Source organism: Homo sapiens, chromosome 14, assembly GCF_000001405.40.
Source record: "Homo sapiens chromosome 14, GRCh38.p14 Primary Assembly".
NCBI lineage: Eukaryota > Metazoa > Chordata > Mammalia > Primates > Hominidae > Homo > Homo sapiens.
Genome location: NC_000014.9, coordinates 104,649,843 through 104,668,186, shown reverse-complemented (window position 1 = coordinate 104,668,186; position 18,344 = coordinate 104,649,843). Strand labels below are relative to the sequence as shown.

Here is an 18,344-nt window from a genome sequence, read left to right as displayed (position 1 = left end):
AGCCCAGCTATTTTTTTTTTTTTTTGTATTTTAGTAGAGATGGGGTTTCGCCATGTTGGCCAGGCTGGTCTCGAACTCCTGACCTCAAGCGCTCCACCTGCCTCGGCCTCCCAAAGTGCTGGGATTACAGGCCTGAGTCACGGCACCCGGCCGGAAGTCCAGGGATTAGTTTTACACTGTCAAGGTGTATTGCATTCTGGTCTGCATCCAGTAGGTTAGTCTTATTTCCAAGGCAGAATGGTTCTCGTGTTCCCCCGCAGGCTCAGTGTCTGCCAGGCTCTTTGGAGTTATAAAGATCAAGGAAGAGACTGGACTGGAAAGCCTATTGGAACCCCTGCTTTCCATAAGGCATTAAAAATACCCTTTAAGGCTGGGCACAGTGGCTCAAGCCTGTAATCCCAGCACTGTGGGAGGCCGAGGCAGGTGGATCACCTGAGGTTGGGAGTTCGAGACCAGCCTCACCAACATGGTGAAACCCTGTCTCTACTAAAAATACAAAAATTTGCCAGGTGTGGTAGCAGGCGCCTGTCATCCTAACTACTTGGGAGGCTGAGATAGGAGAATCGCTTGAACCCCGGAAGCGGAGGTTGCAGTAAGCTGAGATCATACCACTGCACTCCAGCCTGGGTGACAGAGCGAGACTCCATCTCAGAAAAAAACAAAAACAAAAAAGAACCCTTTAAAATGCAGGTGAGTGTCTTTTGCCCCAGCAACACCAATCCTGGGTCTTTACCTCAAGATAGCACCTTAAAGGTGCTCAAAGACCAAGCTATCAGGATATTTGTGGCCCTACTGTTTAGAATTCTGAAAGAATAACCCCAGAAGTGGTTAATTTCCAACAATACATGGATTTGTTGAACACAAATTGGCTTATGCACACAGCATAATGTGCAGTCATTTAAAATATTGTGTCAGAGTTAGTGGAAACACGGTCAGGTTTTGTCACTGACAGATGTAAGTGGCATTCACGGCGGCCTGCGTTGTGTGGTTGGCATTGCGTGTGTGTCACACGCGTGGAGGCGTCTGGACAGGTGGAAAGTACCTGCAATCACAGCAACTGGCCTCGGGCAGCGGCCGTTGGTTGTTCAGAATTCTTTCGGCTTGCCTGTATTTTCTGGTGTCTTAAAACAATGACTATGTATTTTTTTGTGGCCATGTATTTTTGAGATACAGTTTTTTTTTTTTTTTTTTTTTTTTGAGACAGAGTCTTGCTCTGTCGCCCAGGCTGGAATGCAGTGGTACAATCTTGACTCACTGCAACCTCCACCTCCCGGGTTCAAGCGATTCTCCTGCCTCAACCTCCTGAGTAGCTGGGACTACAGGTGCCTGCCACCACACCCGGCTAATTTTTGTATTTTTAGTAGAGACGGGTTTCACCATTTTGGCCAGGCTGGTCTCGAACTCCTGACCTCAAATGATCCACCCACCTTGGCCTCCCAAAGTGCTGGGATTACAGGCATGAGTCACCGCGCCTGGCCTGAGATACAGTTTACCCAGAGTAAAATGCATAGAACTAAAGTGTATGAGTTTTGACAAATAAAGAGGTCCGTGGAGCCCTCACCCAGAACAAGACTGGGGGCACTGCACCACCTCAGAGGGTCCTGGCCTTCTGTAGTCTACAGTGTATTGTGGGTAACACAAGTTAATCAGAAACGTAAATTCTCAGCTGGCAGAGAGAAGCTGTGTATAAGCCTGGGCTCTCCGATTAGATCGTTCTCACCAGGGTGCTCTGCAGCCAGGGGGTGCCGGGGAAGATGCCCTGCAGGTGCCCTCTGCCCGGCCCTGGGGGAGGAGGGAGGCCCTGCTGCAGGGGAGCTGGGAGCCACTGTGGCCGCCATGGAGGCTGCCACTCTCCCAGCTCCAGTGTCACCTCGGCGGGTGGGGGCTGGTTGTGGGGACAAAAGGCCTTTGTACTCGGGACAGCCTCAGCCCTACTGTAGGGATGGGAGGAGAGAACGGCCACATTCCGAGGTTGGGGGAGGTCACTGGACACAAGGCCTTTCTTTCTGAGCTGCTAGTGCATGTCGGCCTGGCTGGGGACCCCGCTGGGGCCTCTGTGGCCGCTGAGGGCAATTCCAACCAGCTTCATGGGCAGTGGCTGGTGGGGCTGGGGGTGACTCCTGCTCTGGGGCTAGAGAGAGGGGCTCAGTCTCGGGAAGAGGGGTAGGGGCGGTGTGTGCGACTCAGCCACCCTCTGATGCTGAGGCCTGCCACCAGCCCGGTGCCAGCCCTCGGGGACGGTGCCACGCCAGGGCCTGCGGAGTGGTGGTGGAGCTCCCTGGTGGTGGAGGGTTGCCCACATCCTTCTCCTCTTCCTTTCCCTGGTCTACACCTCCCCAAGGTGTGAAAAAGCCCAGGCCCTCTCTACAGCCTGCAGGCAGCGCCATGCCCGGGGAGGGTGCAGTTTGAGGAGGGGAGGGGCCGCCTCGGGATGTTTCCATTCAGAACTGGGACCTGTGGGCCACCAGAGAACCTAAAAGCAAACATGTCTGGCCAGCGACGGGATTAACTCTCAGACTGCAAAATCAAAACACTTCCTGTTAGTGTGAGCTCACTCAGTTATTTAGGCGAAAGCACACTGCCTTCCTGAGCTGGGAGAGTTTGTCTCTCCCCGCCCTGGGGTCCCTCCTGGATCTTCCTGCCTTGACAGCCCCACAGAAAATGCTAAGAGCCCAGGAAGGTTGTGAAGGGTGTGTGTGTGTTTGTGTGTGTGTCTGTGTGCTGTGTGTGTCTGTGTGTGTTTGTGTGTGTCTGTGTGTTTGTGTGTGTGTATGTGTGTGTCTGTGTTTGTGTGTGTTGTCTGTGTCTGTGTGTCTGTGTGTCTGTGTGTCTGTGTGTCTGTGTGTGTGTCTTGTGTCTGTGTGTTTGTGTGTGTGTCTGTGTGTTTGTGTGTCTGTGTGTTTGTGTGTGTGTTTGCATCTGTGTGTTTGTGTGTCTGTGTGTGTGTGTGTTTGTGTTTGTGTGTCTGTGTGTGTTTGTGTGTCTGTGTGTGTTTGCATCTGTGTGTGTGTGTGGGTTTGTGTGTGTCTGTGTGTTTCTGTGTGTCTGTGTGTGTGTGTCTGTGTGTGTGTGTTTGCATCTGTGTGTTTGTGTGTGTGTGGGTTTGTGTGTGTCTGTGTGTTTGTGTGTGTCTGTGTGTGTGTCTGTGTTTGTGTGTGTTTCTGTGTGTCTGTGTGTTTGTGTCGGTGTGTGTCTCTGTGTGTGTTTGTGTGTGTATGTGTATTGGGAGGACAGTGGTCCCAGCTCCTCAGGGGCATCAGGCTCTGTAGCAGGGCCCACCGTCTCGGCAGGAGGGTGCAATGGCCTCACCCACACTGTCCAGGCAGTTCTCTTGGGACCCCTTTTAGCCAGCACAGGTGCCTTCTCCCTCGGCAGGAGGGTGCGATGGTCTCACCCACACGGTCCAGGCGGGTCTCTTGGGTCTCCTTTTCCAGCACAGGTGCCTTCTCCCTAGGTAAGACATTATCCATCATGGTGGTGTTTCAGATGGCAGCGCAGGGAGTGGAGATTTTGGGGCCGCAGTCTTCCCCAGCCCAAGGTGCCCCAGGGCCTGCCCTGGGATGCGGGTTCCTGCCAGAAGTGCCTTTTGCTGCGTGGAATCATGGGGAATGTGGGGTCCTCCCCAGTCAACCTGGGGAGCCCTAGCAGGGAGGTGAAGATGGGTTTAGGGGATCATAAAAAGCAAAAACCAAACCAGATCCCAGTAGAAATCTCCGGGGGAGTTGGGGTCATCTCGAACCAAGGGGAGGGAGGAGAGGGGCTGCAGGTGGGGTGGGGGGTAGTGAGAGGGGAAGAGGGTGAAGCTCTGCTCACAGGAGTCGCCCGTTGCCCAGGCTTTGTGTGCTGGGCACACAGATGCCAGCAGGTGGAAGCTGAGCATGGAGGAGGTTCTCATCAGCTCACCCGCCCTCCTCCAAGCCCCAGGCTGGCCTGGGCTACGTAGGGAGCCCTTGGGGTCAAAAGCACATCCAACCCCTATAACCTTCCCCAAGGGCGTGGACACCTGTAGGAAGGGAGGGAGATCAATTACCTTGGTTCAGATCACAGGTTTTTTTTTTTTTTTTTTCTAAAAATCAGGAAACGGCAAAGATGTAATGACCACACTCAGGTGTAAACTCTGTAGCCGGGTTTCTAAACTAGAACCTACTGATCGTGGGATAAAAATCAGGAAACGGTGAAGATGTAATAACCACACTCAGGTGTAAACTCTGCAGCCGGATTTCTAAACTAGAAGCTACTGATCATGGGATAAAAATCAGGAAACGGTGAAGATGTAATCACCACACTCAGGTGTAAACTCTGCAGCCGGGTTCTAAACTAGAACCTACTGATCATGGGATTCAGGTGTCCCTGAACTTGGATGGAAAAACGTTGCATCTTTACTTTCACCAGCCTCTAGGCTAAAGTGAGTGTTCCTCAATAGTGAATGTGGCCAAAGGACCTAGCGGTCTCCACAGAACCTGGGACTCCACCGTCAGCAAAGTCCTGTGTATTTTCCCATCGTGTTTCAGTTGCTTCGGCGTCTTGAAGCCTCATTTTTGTTCCTGCTTCAACACTGTTGGTCATGAGAGCTGCTGCTAGATCTGGATCAGTAGGTTTTTTTTAATCTGTTGCCCAGGCTGTAGTGCAGTGGTGCAATCTCGGTTCACTGCAACCTCCGCCTCCCAGGTTCAAGTGATTCTCCTGCCTCAGCCTCCCAAGTAGCTGGGAGTACAGGTGCACGCCACCACACCCAGCTGATTTTTGTATTTTTAGTAGAGATGGTGGCGGGGGGGGAGGGGTCTCACCATGTTGGCCAGCCTGGTCTTGAACCCCTGACCTCAGGTGATCCACCCGCCTCGGCCTCCCAAAGTGCTGAGATTACAGGCGTGAGCCACCATGCCTGGCCTGAATCAGTAGATTAACAAGAAATCCAATAACAATTACTTTATTATTTTGGTAACCGTATTTCAATATAGTGGGTGTATGAGTTGGTTCTCACACTGCTATAAAGATACTACAAGAGACTGGGTAATTTATAATCAAAGGAGGTTTTATTTATTTACTGAGACAGAGTCTTGTTTTGTCCCCCAGGCTGGAGTGCAGTGGTGCAATCTCAGCTCACTGCAACCTCCGCCTCCTGGTTTCAAGTGAGTCTCCTGCCTCAGCCTCCCAAGTAACTGGGATTACAGGTGCGTGCCACCATGCCCGGCTAATTTTTGTATTTTTAGTAGGACGGGGTTTCACCACGTTGGCCAGGCTGGTCTCGAACTCCTGACCTCAAGTGATCCACCCACCTCAGCCTCCCAAAGTGCTGGTATCACAGGTGTGAGCCACCTCGCCCAGCCCACAAAGGAGGTTTAATTGACTCACAGTTCTGCATGGCTGGGGAGGCCTCAGGAAACTTACAATCATGGTGGAAGGGAAGCAGGTGCCTTCTCACAAGGCGGCACGAGAAAGAAGTTCAAGCAGGGGAAATGCCAGCTGAAGCCTGGGCGCAGGTGACCACGCAGGCCGAGAGGTCCCACGCCCGCGAAGACCCAGGGAAGCTGGTGGTGCAGTGCGGTCTGAGTCCGAAGCCCTGAGAGCCGGAGGGCTAATGGCGTTAATCTCAGTGTCAGGGCCAGAGAAGGTGAGGTGAGTGTCCCAGCTCAAGCAGCGTGGCAGGAAGAGGGGGGCAAATTCACCTTTCTCTGCCTTCCGCGCTATTCGGGTCCTCAGCGGATTGGGTGACACCACCCACCCTGGGGAGGGCGGCCTGCTTTACAGAGCCCACTGATTCAAATGCTAATCTCATCCAGAACACCCTCGGACATCCCCAGAAATAACGTTCAACCCGGCACCCCACGGCCAGGGGAGCTGACACATAAAGTTAACCGTCACTCCGCCCGCATGGAGAGGGAGCCCACAGGAAGGAGCTGGTGCTGCTGTCTCGACCCTGACCCTGGGCCGTGTGGGTCGTTCTGGCCCTTGCCCCTGCTTGTCTGTAGCTCCCACCCCACAGTGAGGAACCTGCCCCACCACCCACCATCCATGGACCTAATCGCTAAGCTGCAGTGTGCAGGGGGAGCAGTGTAGGGACTGCTCACCTGTACCCCGCGGCAGAAGCGTGTGTCTGCCAGGGTACAGGGCTCATGTGCGGGTCCATTTGCTTTTGGCTTCACAGACTTCGTCGTTTGTGAGGGTACCCAGGTCAGCCCCATCCCCCAGCCCCTCCCTACGTCTGTAATACAGCTGCTCCCTGGGTCTGTGATACAGCCAGAGGCTCTCGCCACACACGGCCCGCCTTCCGTCCTAGACCCCCAGCCTCTTGACTGAGCTTTAAAATTTGCATACATTAAGGCTCACTCTTGCTGTGAAGTTCTGTGGGTTTTGACAGATGCACAGTGTCGTGTCTCTGCCATTACAATGTCGTTCACGTTAGTTTCACAGCCCTAAAAACCCCCCTGTGCTCCACCGATCCAACCATTTCCTCTTTCCCGAACTCCTGGCAACAACTGTTTCCATAAATGTATTTTTCTGGTGGGTTTTTGGTGAACAATTTTATCAAATTAGAAATATTTCATTTGTTTCAATTTCTAATTTGCCCAGAAATTTTTAAAAAGTCACCGATGGCATCACTTGAGACATTGGGACACTTTTTGCCCTGTCATCTATTCAGATGGTATTTGCACGGATCAGATTCTGATATTAAACCTTCCTTGAATTCCTGGGAGAAACCCTTAGATCTATCAGGGTCCCAGCAGGAAAGAGACCCACATTTAGAGCAGGTTACTTGCAGCAGTGTTTAACAAAGGGGCTCTTTATAAAGGTAGGGCAGAGTACTGGAAACCTCAAGGGGCAGTACATGTCCCAGGGCTGGCCAAAGGCATGCCTGGTGGAGAGAATTTTCTGGAATGTGAAGGAGAGTGCTGTGGAGAGGAGCCATGACATTCCCAAGGCCACCTCACACAGTCATCTGCCATCATTTGCAGATCACATGTCAGCTTACTTAGCAAGCCTAACAGAACGGACAGGAAAACGTAATGTTATAAACACATAATTCTCCCCAGAGAATTATGGGGACATAATAAATTCAATGCAATTCTAATTGGAGTCTCATTTGGGCTTCAATTTTTTTTTAAAGAAATAAATAAATGTAGTCTACATTTTACATGGAAGAATACAGATCAAAAGCAGCTAAGATGGCTTGAGAAAGAAGAAAACAGACAGGGTGTTTGCGCCTACAAAGCCGGGTAACTGAAAGCAGCAGTGGAAGAGGCTGGGCCCGTGGAGGGAGACCCAGGCTGCACGGGGTAGGACGGAGGGCTCTGCCGGGCATTTCCTCCTGGCCCCCCCGGGGAGCTGAGGTGTGCGTAATTAGTACTTGTGCTTGGTGGGGAGGAAGTGAGAGCAGAGGGCGCTGGGCCACTGCTTCTCACTTTCTGGGACCCCAGCATCCCCAGGCAGGAGCGTCCCTGTCCTGGCAGGCAGGTCTTGGGCCTCAGGTCTGAACATCTGAATATCTGTGCAGCCCTGCCAGGGCCCCTCTCGGTCCTGCAGGCTCCTGGCGCTGGCTGGGGCACAGGGAGCCCTGAAGACGCCTGGGGGTCTGTGGGTGCTGCAGGCACCGCTGGCTGGTTATAGTCGCAACAGCCCCCAGGTGGGCAATTTTCCTTCCACTTCACAGTGGAGGAAACGGGTTCTGAGAGGTAGCAGCTTTCCCAAGTGCAGGGGGGTGGGGGCAGGACTTGAACCCAGATCCCTGAGAATCTGAACCCAGGCCTCTGCTCTTGCTCTCCAAGCTTCCAGACAGAGAAGGAGAGTGGGTGGCGACGGCCATCGGGAGGGGCTCCAGACGGAGGACCGGGCAAGTGAGCGCCTGGTGGGCGGCCTGGGGCGGAGGCACCCAGGGAGCCCAAATCGGGGCACCTGGGAGGAGGAAGTTCCCAGAGGACTGCAGACCCTGCAGCTGTGCCTCCGAGGTCAGAACCGCCCACGCCCGCCAGGCAGGACGTGCGGCTCCTGGCCGCAGCTGTCAGGGAGGAAATTCACGTCTCAGCTGAGGTTTAAGAGGCATCTGACCCTCTGCTAAAAATACTCGGGCAGCGTGGGTCCGGTGGAGTTGGCTGTGGGGTGCGTCTGGGTGGGGGTCCCAGCGAGGCCAGAACAGGCGCCAGCGACCTGCAGAGCGGTGCAGTGCGGTGGGGCTTGTGGATGCCGGGCCTGCAGACCAGCTCCATGGGAGAAACTGGGGCGGGGTAGGGAAGGCGCGGTGAGTCGCCGGCCCGCGGAGCCCCCGTTTGTGCCCTCGCTGGCAAACTGTGAAGCCCGTGCAAGGCGGGAGAGGCCGTGGGCTGGCGGGAACCTGGGCGTCCTGGGCTGCCCAGAACGTGCTGCCTCAGTTTACCCAGCTTTACCATGCAGAGGCCAACCTCGCCCCTCCCTTTCTCACCAGTGGTCAGTAAGATTCGGGTGGTGTTGGACATCACCTGAACAGATGTGGAGGTGGAGGGGGGTTGAGGTGTAGGCAGGGGCTGTGGAGCACCCTGGGGGGGCAGGTGTTGGACACTGGGGTCCCGGAATCAGGCCCTGTGATCTCAGGGAGGCTCACCTGGCTTCTGGTTCCCAATCCCCTTCTGGGTGAGTGGACGTGCACCCCTCCCCCAGTGCAGAGGGCTTGTTGGGGTACTCTGCAGGTCTTTTCTCCCCACAGCAGGGGTGGAGTAGGAGAAGGGAAGCTTCGGAGGGAGGGGCTCTGGGCTGGGAAGGAGGGAGGGTCTGAGAAGCAGGGAGCCCTGGGACTGGTTGGGGCGGGTCACTCTGACACGGATCTCACTGTGGAGGGGGTGATGTTGCTGAGACCTGCATGGGTCCGGGCTTCCAGTGGCCCCACCAGAATCCAGGGCCACCAGGGTGGGGGGTGCTGGTGGTTTCTGAGTACCTTCCCACACTGCCCCCATGGCAGACCCCTCCCAGCAGATCCCAAACATTCCCCACTATGCAGGGGAAGGGTGAAGCCACATTCCCCACTACTCAGGGGAAGGGTGGAGCCCCCTTCCTCTGGGACCACCCGCCTGGAGTCACCTCCTCTGGGCCTGCATATCCCTCCCGGGGAGGGACAGAAAGGAAGGTGGCAGCTGGAGGGCTTCCAGAGACCACCGACCAGCACCGGGCAGACAGGAAGACTCTGGAAGTCAAGCTATGACTTTTTTTGAGACAGGGTCTCGCTTTGCCACCCAGGCTGGAGTGCGGTGGTGCGATCTCAGCTCACTGCAACCTCCATCTCCTGGGCTCAAGTGATTCTCCTGCCTCAGCCTCCCAAAGTGCTGGGATTATCTGCATGAGCCACCGCTCCCAGCCTAAAGGGGACATTTTCATTGTCAGTTTCTTAATTTCCACTTTAGAGGGCAGGAAACTAAATCAGCCAGTTTGGTCCAATGGCAGGGGTTTGGGCCCCTTCTGAGGGCAGCCTGCTCTTCAATTGTGGGGGCTGCCTCAGGGGGCCTTTGGTTTCGCATTGATGGGATGGCTGTACCACTCATCTTCCAAACCAGGACAGCTTTGAGAGAGAAACAGGTACCAGTGACGCCAGGACACCAGGGGTGGTGCAGCGCACCTGCAGAGCTGAGCCAGGCTCCGTCGTGGGCGGATGCGCCACCGGCAAAATGCATCTGTTTGTTGCTGCGTCACAAATGACCCTCAGACGTAAATCCCAGAGACCATGCATTTTGCTCCCAAATCTGCAATTTGGGCAGGGCTCAGCAGGACTGTCTCATCTCTGTCCACGTGGCATCAGCCGGGGTGCCCGAGTGGGGGCTGGAGGGCCACCTCTGTCATGGTTCACTCGGCATGGTGGCTGGAGCCCAAGTCAGCCTCCCAGGAGAACAAGATGGAGGTGCGTGGACTCCAGAGCTGTGAAAAGAAAATCCGTAATGGAGATGGTTATGTCAGGGCTATCTAAAAAGGAACTGGGAGGGCAAGAGGAGCTGGACCCCGTCCAACTCGCCAGATAGAATTGATCTGTTGACCTGGGCCGGATCGTGAACCAGCTGCATTTGATTTGAACCATTCACACCGGGCCTGATCACTGGTCTCCTGGAGACAGGCACACCTGACTAGATTGATCATCAGCCAGAGCTGTCCTAAGCTGTTAAGCCCCCACCGTCGGTCATGGACCATGCCAACAGCTTCCGGATGTGTAGACTCACAGCAAACCTTTGTAAGCCCCTGCCCGGCCTCCCCCGCACAGACACGTTTGAGCTCCTTGCTAGATCTGTGTCTCCTGAACCGCAGTTCCTGAGGCCCTCCTTCTCTTTTGTTTCCTGATCTACAGTGTTGGTCTATTTTTTGTCAGTTGACAGAACATAGCCTTGCAAGTCACCCAGTCCCTTTTTTTTTTTTGAGAGAGGGTCTTGCTCTGTTGCCCAGGTTGGAGTGCAGTGGTGCAATCATGGCTCACTACAGCCTTGACCTCCTAGGCTCAAGCGATCCTCCTGCTTCAGCCTTGTGAGTAGCTGGGACTACAGATGTGTGTCACCATGCCTGGCTAATTAAAACAATTTTTTTTTTTTTTGTAGAGAGGGGGGTCTCACTATGTTGCCCAGGCTGGTCTTGAACTCCTCCGCTCAAGTGACCGTCTTGCCTCGGCCTCCCAAAGTGCTGGGATTACAGGCGTGAGCAACTGTAATGCACCAAGCTAACCCAGCTCACTTCTGCTATCCTCTGTCAGCAGAGACCCAAAGGCCTGGCCAGGCTCAAGGGGAGGGGACACAGCCCCTGCCTCTTGACGAGGGAGAGGCAGGGTTAGGAGGGCTTGTGGGATAGGAGATGGCACGGTGGCCATTATGGGACCCAGGCAGCCTCAGGAGGCGTGGGGGATGGCACTGCTCTCACAGGGAACATCTGAGCCCTGCGGGGGCAGGTGCATCTCAGCAGTGCGGGTGTGCACCCGGAGAGATGCTTCTCTGCTCACATGGGTTTGTGCCCGTGCCCTGTCTGCACAGTTTTCTGCAGGCTCTGAAGGAGCAGCCATGCACATGCTTTCTGCTTCCTCTTTCTTGACAGCGCTTGCCTGTGGGTGCCAGGACCCCACATGCTTTTGGTTCCCCTCTGGATGAGTGAGCCCAAGTTACCGTAACAGAAGACCTCAGCCTGGGCAGCTTAGACGATAGACCTTTATTTTCTCACAGCTCTGGAGCCTGGAAGTCCAAGATCAAGGTGCCACCAGTGTCAGAGCTGGTTTCTCATGAAACCTTCTCCCGGCCTTGCTGCGCCCACCTCTGGTGTCTCCTCCTCTTCTTGGAAGGCCACAGCCCTGTTGGATTAGGGCCCACCCTTATGACTTCGTAAAGGTCGTAGTTACCTTCTAAAGACCCTATTTCCAAATCAGTCACATTGGGGGTTGCGGCTTGACATAAGGATTTGGGGGGGCCACACTTCAGTCCATAGCACCCTCCTACCTCCCTGGCTGCCCCACCTCTGCCTCTGTCATCCCCTCCTCTCCCCGAGGAGAGGCCTCCTCTCCGGAGGGGCCGTGCCCCATCTCATCTATGAAGACTGCCCCCCGCCCCCGCTCCCGCGCTGTCTGTGCACCGTCAGCCTCCCACCGCCCTCCACGTCCTCAGAAACACACACTTGATGAGGCTGAAAGAACCGTGACTCTCTCGCCCGCCCCCACCATCTGCTTTTGCCTCCCGTGGGACACCCCACCACTTTGTCAAGCCCCGAGCCAGCCTCTCTCCGTGTTCTTCCCTCCCCTCACTGCCTCCACACCGAGGAGCTAGGCACTGCTTCCTAAGTCTCCCTTCCTGCATTGCTCACCACCTCCCCTGCCGCCACCATGTCCAGGGGCCAAAATTGTTCTGTCTGTTCTCCCTCCCTCCGCTGGGGCCTGAGGGCAGTCTGCTCCCATGGGAGCCGGCGGGATGCTGGCAAGTCACAGATGCAATCCTGTCCATGGCTCCCGCCTCCCTGCAGGTTACAAACATGCCTCCCTTTTCCTGCTGTTGGAATGAAGCTCAGAACCACGGCCCTGAGGCCCCATCCTGTCTGGTCCTGCTGCCTTCAGCCACGTCTCAGACCCCTTTCTGCGCCCGTCTGCCTCCAGCCGCACTGACATCAGTGCCAGGCATGCGCCTCTTCCCTCCTTCCCCAGGGCCTTTGCACGTGTAGCTCCCGCTGCCTGAGCACTCTTCCATGGCTCTGGCTCAGTCTGACATTCTATTTTTTCCTTGGAGAGTTAAGTGGAAGTTATATGCTCTATTTCTATTTTAAAATAGTCACTCTTAGAATTTTAACAAGTATATTTAGAATTCAAAGATAGCCAGTGTTTCCATCCTCCTCCTGATCACGCCCCTCCTGGCTCACAGATCATTACGACTGCCCAATACTCAGGTCTGCCTTGCCTTTATCACCCTCCACTTTCCACAGGGCTTTGTTGCACACAGCCAGCACTCGTTGAGGTTTGCACATGTTTGCACCCCACTCTTTCTGGCAGCCCAGGCGTCCCCTCTTTCTGAGCTGTATTCTGTGGAGGTTGCTCTGCTAAGGAGCTGGGTGGTGGCGCAGTCATTTTGCTGATCTGATGCTTCTCCCACACCCGTAAGTGGGAGTGGAGCAGGGCGTGTGGGTCCGGCTGCTGCCTCTGCCTCGGCACTTCAGAGACGGTCATCTGCTCCTGTTCTTGCCGTTCGCGGGGTCTGCCTCCAGCAAGTTCTCCTTCAGCATTCTGAGTGTACCACGGGACAGCTAGGTATGGGCTGCTTTTATTCTTCCTGCTTGAGAGTGCTGCACTCTTGAGGCTGAAGTTTCCATATTTTATCAGTTCTGGAAAATTCTCAGCCATATTGTCAGGGAGCTGGTGGGCTCTCCCCGTTTTATTTATTTCCACCTCTTGGAATTCCTTCCTTCCTTCCCGCCTTCCCACCTTCCCTCCTTCCCTCCTTCCCTCCTTCCTTCCTTCCTTCCATCCTTCCTTCCCTTCCCTCCCTCCCTCCCTTCCTCCCTCCCTCCCTTCCTTCCTTCCCTCCTTCCCTCCTTTCCTCCCTCTTCCCTCCCCTTCCTTCCCCTTCCCTCCCCTTCCCTTCTCTTTTCTTTTTGAGGCAAGTCTCGCTCTGTCACCCAGGCTGGAGTGCAGTGGCATGATCTCTGCTCACTGCAAGCTCCGCCTCCTGGGTTCACGCCATTCTCCTGCCTCAGCCTCCCGAGTAGCTGGGACTACAGGCACCCACCACCACGTCTGGCTAAGTTTTTGTATTTTTAGTAAAGACAGGGTTTCACTATGTTAGCCAGGATGGTCTCAATCTCCTGACCTCATGATCCGCCCGCCTCAGCCTCCCAAAGTGCTGGGATTACAGGTGTGAGCCACCGCGCCCGGCTTCTTTTCTTTTCTTTCTTCAGAGTCTCGCTTTCCTGCCCAGGCTGGAGTGAAGTGGCGCAATCTTGGCTGCACTGCAACCTCTGCCTCCCAGGTTCTCCGGGATTCTCCTGCCTCAGCCTCCCGAGTAGCTGGGATTACAGGCACCCGTCATCATGCCTGGCTAATTTTTGTATTTTTAGTAGAGATATGTTTTCACCATGTTGGCCAGGCTGGGTTCGAACTCCTGGCCTCAAGTGATCCACCTGCCGTGGCTTCCCAAAGTGCTGGGATTACAGGCATAAGCCACTGTGCCCAGCCCCTCTGGAATTTCGATCGGAAGTACGGAAAACCTTCTTATCCATCTCTCCTATGTCTTAACCTCTTCTGAACCCCCTTAACACCTCCTATCTGTCTGTGCCGATTAGGGGTGATCACAGTCTTCCCTATCGATTCCTCACTTCCCTCTTGATCTGCATCAAATCAGCTGCCAGACCAGCTGACTGGGGGCTTGTTTCCACACCGTCTTCCCATGTTTCCAGGTACAGTTCAAGTTCAGTGGCAGTAAGTACATTCGCATTGTTGTGCAACCAATCTCCAGAACTTTTTGACCTTCCCAAACGGAAACTCTGAAACAGCAAACACAAACTCCCCACACCCTCCTTCCCCCAGCCTGGCACCCTCCATTCTGCTTTCTGTCTCTGCGGTTTTGACTGCTCTGGGAGCCTCACAAACATGGAGTCAGGCAGCACTTGCCCTTTTGTGTCGGTTCTTTCCCTCAGCATAATGTCTTCAAGCCTGAGCTGTGTGGCAGCCTGTGTCAGGACCTCCTGTGTTTGTTGTTGTTGTTGGTGTTGTTGAGGCTGGATAATATTCCCCTTGATGGATACGCCACTTTTTTCTTTTTGAGACAGGGTCTCGCTCTGTTGCCCAGGATGGAGTGCAGTGGCGCCATTATGGCTCACTGCAGCCTCGACCTCCCTGGGCTCAAGCAATCCTCCCACTTCAGCCTCCTGAGTAGCTGGGACTACAGGCGCACACCAGCATGTTTAGCTAATTTTCGTATTTTTTGTATTGATGGATTTTCACCTGTTGGCCAGGTTGGTCTTGCACTCCTGAGTTCAAGCGGTCCACCCGTCTTGGCCTTCCATGTGATGGGATTACAGGCGTGAGCCACCTCGCTCGGCCTGGATACACCAGGTTCGCCCAGCCGCCTCGCCCGGCCTGGATACACCAGGTTCGCCCAGCCGCCTCGCCAGGCCTGGATACACCAGGTTCGCCCAGCCGCCTCGCCCGGCCTGGATACACCAGGTTCGCCCAGCCGCCTCGCCAGGCCTGGATACACCAGGTTCGCCCAGCCGCCTCGCCCGGCCTGGATACACCAGGTTCGCCCAGCCGCCTCGCCCGGCCTGGATACACCAGGTTCGCCCAGCCGCCTCGCCAGGCCTGGATACACCAGGTTCGCCCAGCCGCCTCGCCAGGCCTGGATACACCAGGTTCGCCCAGCCGCCTCGCCCGGCCTGGTTACACCATGTTCGCCCAGCCGCCGCGCCAGGCCTGGATACACCAGGTTCGCCCAGCCGCCGCGCCAGGCCTGGATACACCAGGTTCATCCATCCGTGAGCACCTGGGCTGCTTCTACCTTCGTGTGTTGGTGAATGATGCTGCTGTGGACACGGGTGTGCAGATATCTGTTCAAGTCCTTGCACTCAGTTCTTGGGCGAATACCCAGAAGTGAAATGTCCGGATGATGTGGCAATTCTAATATAAGTTTTTGAAATACTGTTTGAAATATCGCCATTCTGGTCTCCACAGTGGCTGCACCGGTTTGCCCTCTCTACCGTAAACACCCTCCATGCTCTGCGATTCATCCCTTCCCCCCCGCTAACCCTGGCAACTACGGGTCCTTTTACTGTCTCCGTAATTTCCCCTTCTCTGGGATGTCCTAGAGTTGGAATCATATAGTATGTGGCCTCTTCAGACTGGCTTCTTTCACTCAGTAATATGCATTTAGGGTTCTTCCATGGATTTTCATGGCTTCACAGCTGTCTTTTAAGTTTATCAACTTCATATAAACACACTGCCCTGCTTTGTCCTCAGGTTCTGTGAGTTTCGAAGAGGTAGTTTAAGGAGTCAACTGGGTTGGACTACAAGTTTTTGTTCTTTTTCTGTTTGGAAAAGCAACAGTGCATATCACCAGTTCGGGATTCCTGGCTCAATACCACCAGCTCGGGATTCCTGGCCCACAGGCCTTGAGCATGAGACGACTGTGGTTCTGAGGCTAGATATCGTAACCTCTCCATATGGAGAAGGATGCGGGAGAAGTGATCACGGGCTTGGCTCTCCCCAACCCCCCTGTAAAACATGAGCCACCGAGATTGCACAACCGGAGACACAGAGGACACTGTCCACAGTAAAGCCTGGTGGCAGCATGTTCCCCTGGAACACAAAATAAGAGTGGGCAGGAAGAGACCACCAACCTGGTGGCTGGCGAGCACGAGGAAGCTGAAAGCAGTGGTGGGCATTGGTGGGCTTGGGACGCCATGGACCTCCTCAGGGGCTCCCTGAGCCAACGTGGGGAGCAGCCATGGTGGGAGGGGTGGACACACACTTGGTGGGGAGCCAGGACAGCCCGGTCGGAAACGTTCACAACCGCCAGCCCAAGCCTCCTAAGGGGAGAGTGCTGGGACACAGCGACCAGGAGAAAGGTGCCCAGGCTGAGCCGGGAGAGAGGCGGGTGGGAGCACCTAGAGCCGCACACGAGGGCGCTGTAGAGTCACCGCTGTGCCACGTGGCGCCGGGTCTCCAGGCCCAGCTAGAGGATGCACCTGCTGGGAACAAGCCCTGCAGGAGGGGAGCAGGGGGGCAGCCCTCGACAGCAGGAGCCACTGGGAGATGAACCTGTGCGCGCCAGCAGCTTGGTCCCTTTGCTGCATGGCCAGCGGCTCCGATGCGTAAACAGTGGACAATTATTTCATGGTTTCTGGAGTTGGCATTTAGGAGGGGCTCATTTGGGAAGCTCAGGTGCGGGGTCTTGCACGTGGTCAGATGCTTGCGGGGATGGCTGTCATCTGAAGGCCTGGCTGTGCTCAAGTATCTGTCCAGGTGCCCCATGTCAGAGGGAACCCAGGCCCGGTTGTGCCCAGGGTGTCTGGTGCCTGTGGGCCGGGCCGTGGGTCTGCTCCTGTACCTGGTGCTGGTCACTGGGCCCCTCCTGCGGCCACTTCTCACTGACAAAACGCTGCCCCGCTTTGTCCCCAGGTTCTGTGAGTTTCAAAGAGGGGTTTCAGAACATCCCCTCCACCATGTGGTGGGATGCTGACTCCGGAGCATGGACTGTGTGCTGGCAGCACGTGGACTCCGCAAAGACAGACTGGCTTAGCCTTCCAAGCGAAAGCCGTCAACACCTCTGCTCTACGGAGGGGGAAACAGAGGCCCAGGGAGGTGAGGTGGCTCCAGGAGGAGCTAGGCTGTGATGGGCAGGGGCCAGGGAGGTGAGGGCTGTGGGGACTCAGCTCTGTACCCCAGCCTCGCGGCACCTCATGGAGGCCAGCCTGAGGGCCCTCCAGACCTGGGAGTCCTGCCCTGCGGCCCACAGGCCCGATGGCTTCACAGGTGGTAGAGGCCTCCAGTGCAGATCCCCGTCCACGCCCTCCTTCTGGACTTCCTGGCTGAGGCCTTATATGTCAAGAGTGGGTAGGGGTGGGGAGGTTAGGTGTGCCCCCACTGTGCCCGGCAGATGCTGGGGATGGGGAGGTGCTGGCAGGTGGGCTGGGGCTGCCCTTGGCCCCACCTTTCCAGTGTGAAGTTTGTGCAGCTTCTGCCTGGCCCAGTCGGGGTGTGACTGGCCTCAGGTGTGGGCCGTGAAACCCCAGGCCCACCCTCCCACTCCCAGCCATTCCTTGAAGGGGCCCAGGCCACCTGCACTGGAGTGGGACGCAGGTGTCTGCAGCGTTCAGGAAAGATGGCAGGTGTCCACGACACCCCAGCCACGCCCAGGACCTTCTGGACAGGCTCCTGTAGGGGTGGGGGTGGAGTCCTAATTATAGGGAGCCTGAAGACCAGGCCAGGACTTCGAGGCATCTTGATGCTACCCATCCCCAGACCCAGCGGCTCTGCCCCAGGGTGGGCCCCAGCCAGCCAGAGGAGCCCCGAGGCTGGGAGATGGGGAGACTGAGGCAGGGTGGGCAAGCGCTGGGTGGTGCGGGGGCAACCAAACCAGGACCCAGGCAGGAGGCTGGAAGCCCCCTGGGCCCCCTCTGTCCCTGCACCTCCTCTCCCCCTCCGCCCCCTCTTCCCCTGCGCCCCGCTCGGCCAGGGGGCGCCCGCTTCAGTGTCCGTTTGGGGGGCGCGGCGCGCCCTCTGGCGGTAAGCGGTGGCATCGCCCTCCTTTGTCAAGGCTGACGACGGGGGAGGAGGAGGGGCAGGGAGAGGGAAGCGGGGATGGAAGGAGAGAGTGGGGAGTGGAGGGTCCGCAGTCAGGCGGGGGCTGCAAAGGCGAGAACGCCTGGGAGGACGTTCCAGGGCGGGGCGGGCTCACGCGGCTCCGGGGCAGCGAATGTCCAGACCCTCGACTTCCTCGGCCCCTCGGCCTCCCCACCCGGAGCATGGACTTGCCCGGACGCCCAGAAAGCCGCTCTCCACCCTGGGGCTGGTGGCGTCGCAGCCCCCGACCGCAGCAGCGATTCCCGGTGGCCCGTCTCAGGTTTGCGGAAGTGCTGCCCCAATCCTCCTTTGTCCCGTAGACTTGTTCGTGTGAACAAAGACGCTCAGTGCTAGCCCCTAAAACCCAAAAAGCAGGAGGACATTCCACGCGGGATAGTGAGTCTTTTCAACAAGTCGTCGTCACCCATGGAAACAGGGGCTACACGGAAAAAAGCCCGTCCCCTTCATCGGGAGATGCATCCCCAATGAAAACTTCCTTTTTCTGTGTAACAATTTTTAATCAAAATGTATAATATAGATTATTTATATCCCAATCAGTGGTTTTGAGGAACTGTGGGCTAATAATTGAAAAATAATGAATCCA

The 18,344-nt window shown here is 56.0% G+C and overlaps 1 long non-coding RNA gene across 1 annotated transcript, besides 14 other annotated features; it reads left to right on the top strand.

Annotated features, from left to right (window-relative positions):
* Positions 1,937–2,699: an enhancer, noted in NCBI's record as "H3K27ac-H3K4me1 hESC enhancer chr14:105131825-105132587 (GRCh37/hg19 assembly coordinates)". NCBI's record gives its function as "activates a minimal SCP1, AML or CMV promoter by ChIP-STARR-seq in primed H9 embryonic stem cells {active_cell/tissue: H9 hESC(primed)}" and the evidence as "EXISTENCE:reporter gene assay evidence [ECO:0000049][PMID:30033119]".
* LINC02280 (long intergenic non-protein coding RNA 2280) lies at positions 2,629–7,067 on the top strand. Its single transcript, NR_135293.1, has 2 exons — positions 2,629–3,454; positions 4,078–7,067. It is a non-coding gene; the product is annotated as a long intergenic non-protein coding RNA 2280 (long non-coding RNA).
* Positions 5,162–5,661: an enhancer, noted in NCBI's record as "H3K4me1 hESC enhancer chr14:105128863-105129362 (GRCh37/hg19 assembly coordinates)". NCBI's record gives its function as "activates a minimal SCP1, AML or CMV promoter by ChIP-STARR-seq in naive H9 embryonic stem cells {active_cell/tissue: H9 hESC(naive)}" and the evidence as "EXISTENCE:reporter gene assay evidence [ECO:0000049][PMID:30033119]".
* Positions 6,187–6,246: a silencer, noted in NCBI's record as "silent region_6188". NCBI's record gives its function as "represses an Ori minimal core promoter by ATAC-STARR-seq in GM12878 lymphoblastoid cells {active_cell/tissue: GM12878}" and the evidence as "EXISTENCE:reporter gene assay evidence [ECO:0000049][PMID:35858748]".
* Positions 7,725–8,319: an enhancer, noted in NCBI's record as "H3K27ac-H3K4me1 hESC enhancer chr14:105126205-105126799 (GRCh37/hg19 assembly coordinates)". NCBI's record gives its function as "activates a minimal SCP1, AML or CMV promoter by ChIP-STARR-seq in naive H9 embryonic stem cells {active_cell/tissue: H9 hESC(naive)}" and the evidence as "EXISTENCE:reporter gene assay evidence [ECO:0000049][PMID:30033119]".
* Positions 8,320–8,914: an enhancer, noted in NCBI's record as "H3K27ac-H3K4me1 hESC enhancer chr14:105125610-105126204 (GRCh37/hg19 assembly coordinates)". NCBI's record gives its function as "activates a minimal SCP1, AML or CMV promoter by ChIP-STARR-seq in naive H9 embryonic stem cells {active_cell/tissue: H9 hESC(naive)}" and the evidence as "EXISTENCE:reporter gene assay evidence [ECO:0000049][PMID:30033119]".
* Positions 9,615–9,684: an enhancer, noted in NCBI's record as "active region_9118". NCBI's record gives its function as "activates an Ori minimal core promoter by ATAC-STARR-seq in GM12878 lymphoblastoid cells {active_cell/tissue: GM12878}" and the evidence as "EXISTENCE:reporter gene assay evidence [ECO:0000049][PMID:35858748]".
* Positions 9,735–9,864: an enhancer, noted in NCBI's record as "active region_9117". NCBI's record gives its function as "activates an Ori minimal core promoter by ATAC-STARR-seq in GM12878 lymphoblastoid cells {active_cell/tissue: GM12878}" and the evidence as "EXISTENCE:reporter gene assay evidence [ECO:0000049][PMID:35858748]".
* Positions 11,015–11,124: an enhancer, noted in NCBI's record as "active region_9116". NCBI's record gives its function as "activates an Ori minimal core promoter by ATAC-STARR-seq in GM12878 lymphoblastoid cells {active_cell/tissue: GM12878}" and the evidence as "EXISTENCE:reporter gene assay evidence [ECO:0000049][PMID:35858748]".
* Positions 11,341–11,841: an enhancer, noted in NCBI's record as "H3K4me1 hESC enhancer chr14:105122683-105123183 (GRCh37/hg19 assembly coordinates)". NCBI's record gives its function as "activates a minimal SCP1, AML or CMV promoter by ChIP-STARR-seq in naive H9 embryonic stem cells {active_cell/tissue: H9 hESC(naive)}" and the evidence as "EXISTENCE:reporter gene assay evidence [ECO:0000049][PMID:30033119]".
* Positions 11,842–12,342: an enhancer, noted in NCBI's record as "H3K4me1 hESC enhancer chr14:105122182-105122682 (GRCh37/hg19 assembly coordinates)". NCBI's record gives its function as "activates a minimal SCP1, AML or CMV promoter by ChIP-STARR-seq in naive H9 embryonic stem cells {active_cell/tissue: H9 hESC(naive)}" and the evidence as "EXISTENCE:reporter gene assay evidence [ECO:0000049][PMID:30033119]".
* Positions 14,760–15,261: an enhancer, noted in NCBI's record as "H3K27ac hESC enhancer chr14:105119263-105119764 (GRCh37/hg19 assembly coordinates)". NCBI's record gives its function as "activates a minimal SCP1, AML or CMV promoter by ChIP-STARR-seq in primed H9 embryonic stem cells {active_cell/tissue: H9 hESC(primed)}" and the evidence as "EXISTENCE:reporter gene assay evidence [ECO:0000049][PMID:30033119]".
* Positions 17,543–17,622: a silencer, noted in NCBI's record as "silent region_6187". NCBI's record gives its function as "represses an Ori minimal core promoter by ATAC-STARR-seq in GM12878 lymphoblastoid cells {active_cell/tissue: GM12878}" and the evidence as "EXISTENCE:reporter gene assay evidence [ECO:0000049][PMID:35858748]".
* Positions 17,703–17,782: a silencer, noted in NCBI's record as "silent region_6186". NCBI's record gives its function as "represses an Ori minimal core promoter by ATAC-STARR-seq in GM12878 lymphoblastoid cells {active_cell/tissue: GM12878}" and the evidence as "EXISTENCE:reporter gene assay evidence [ECO:0000049][PMID:35858748]".
* Positions 17,793–17,942: a silencer, noted in NCBI's record as "silent region_6185". NCBI's record gives its function as "represses an Ori minimal core promoter by ATAC-STARR-seq in GM12878 lymphoblastoid cells {active_cell/tissue: GM12878}" and the evidence as "EXISTENCE:reporter gene assay evidence [ECO:0000049][PMID:35858748]".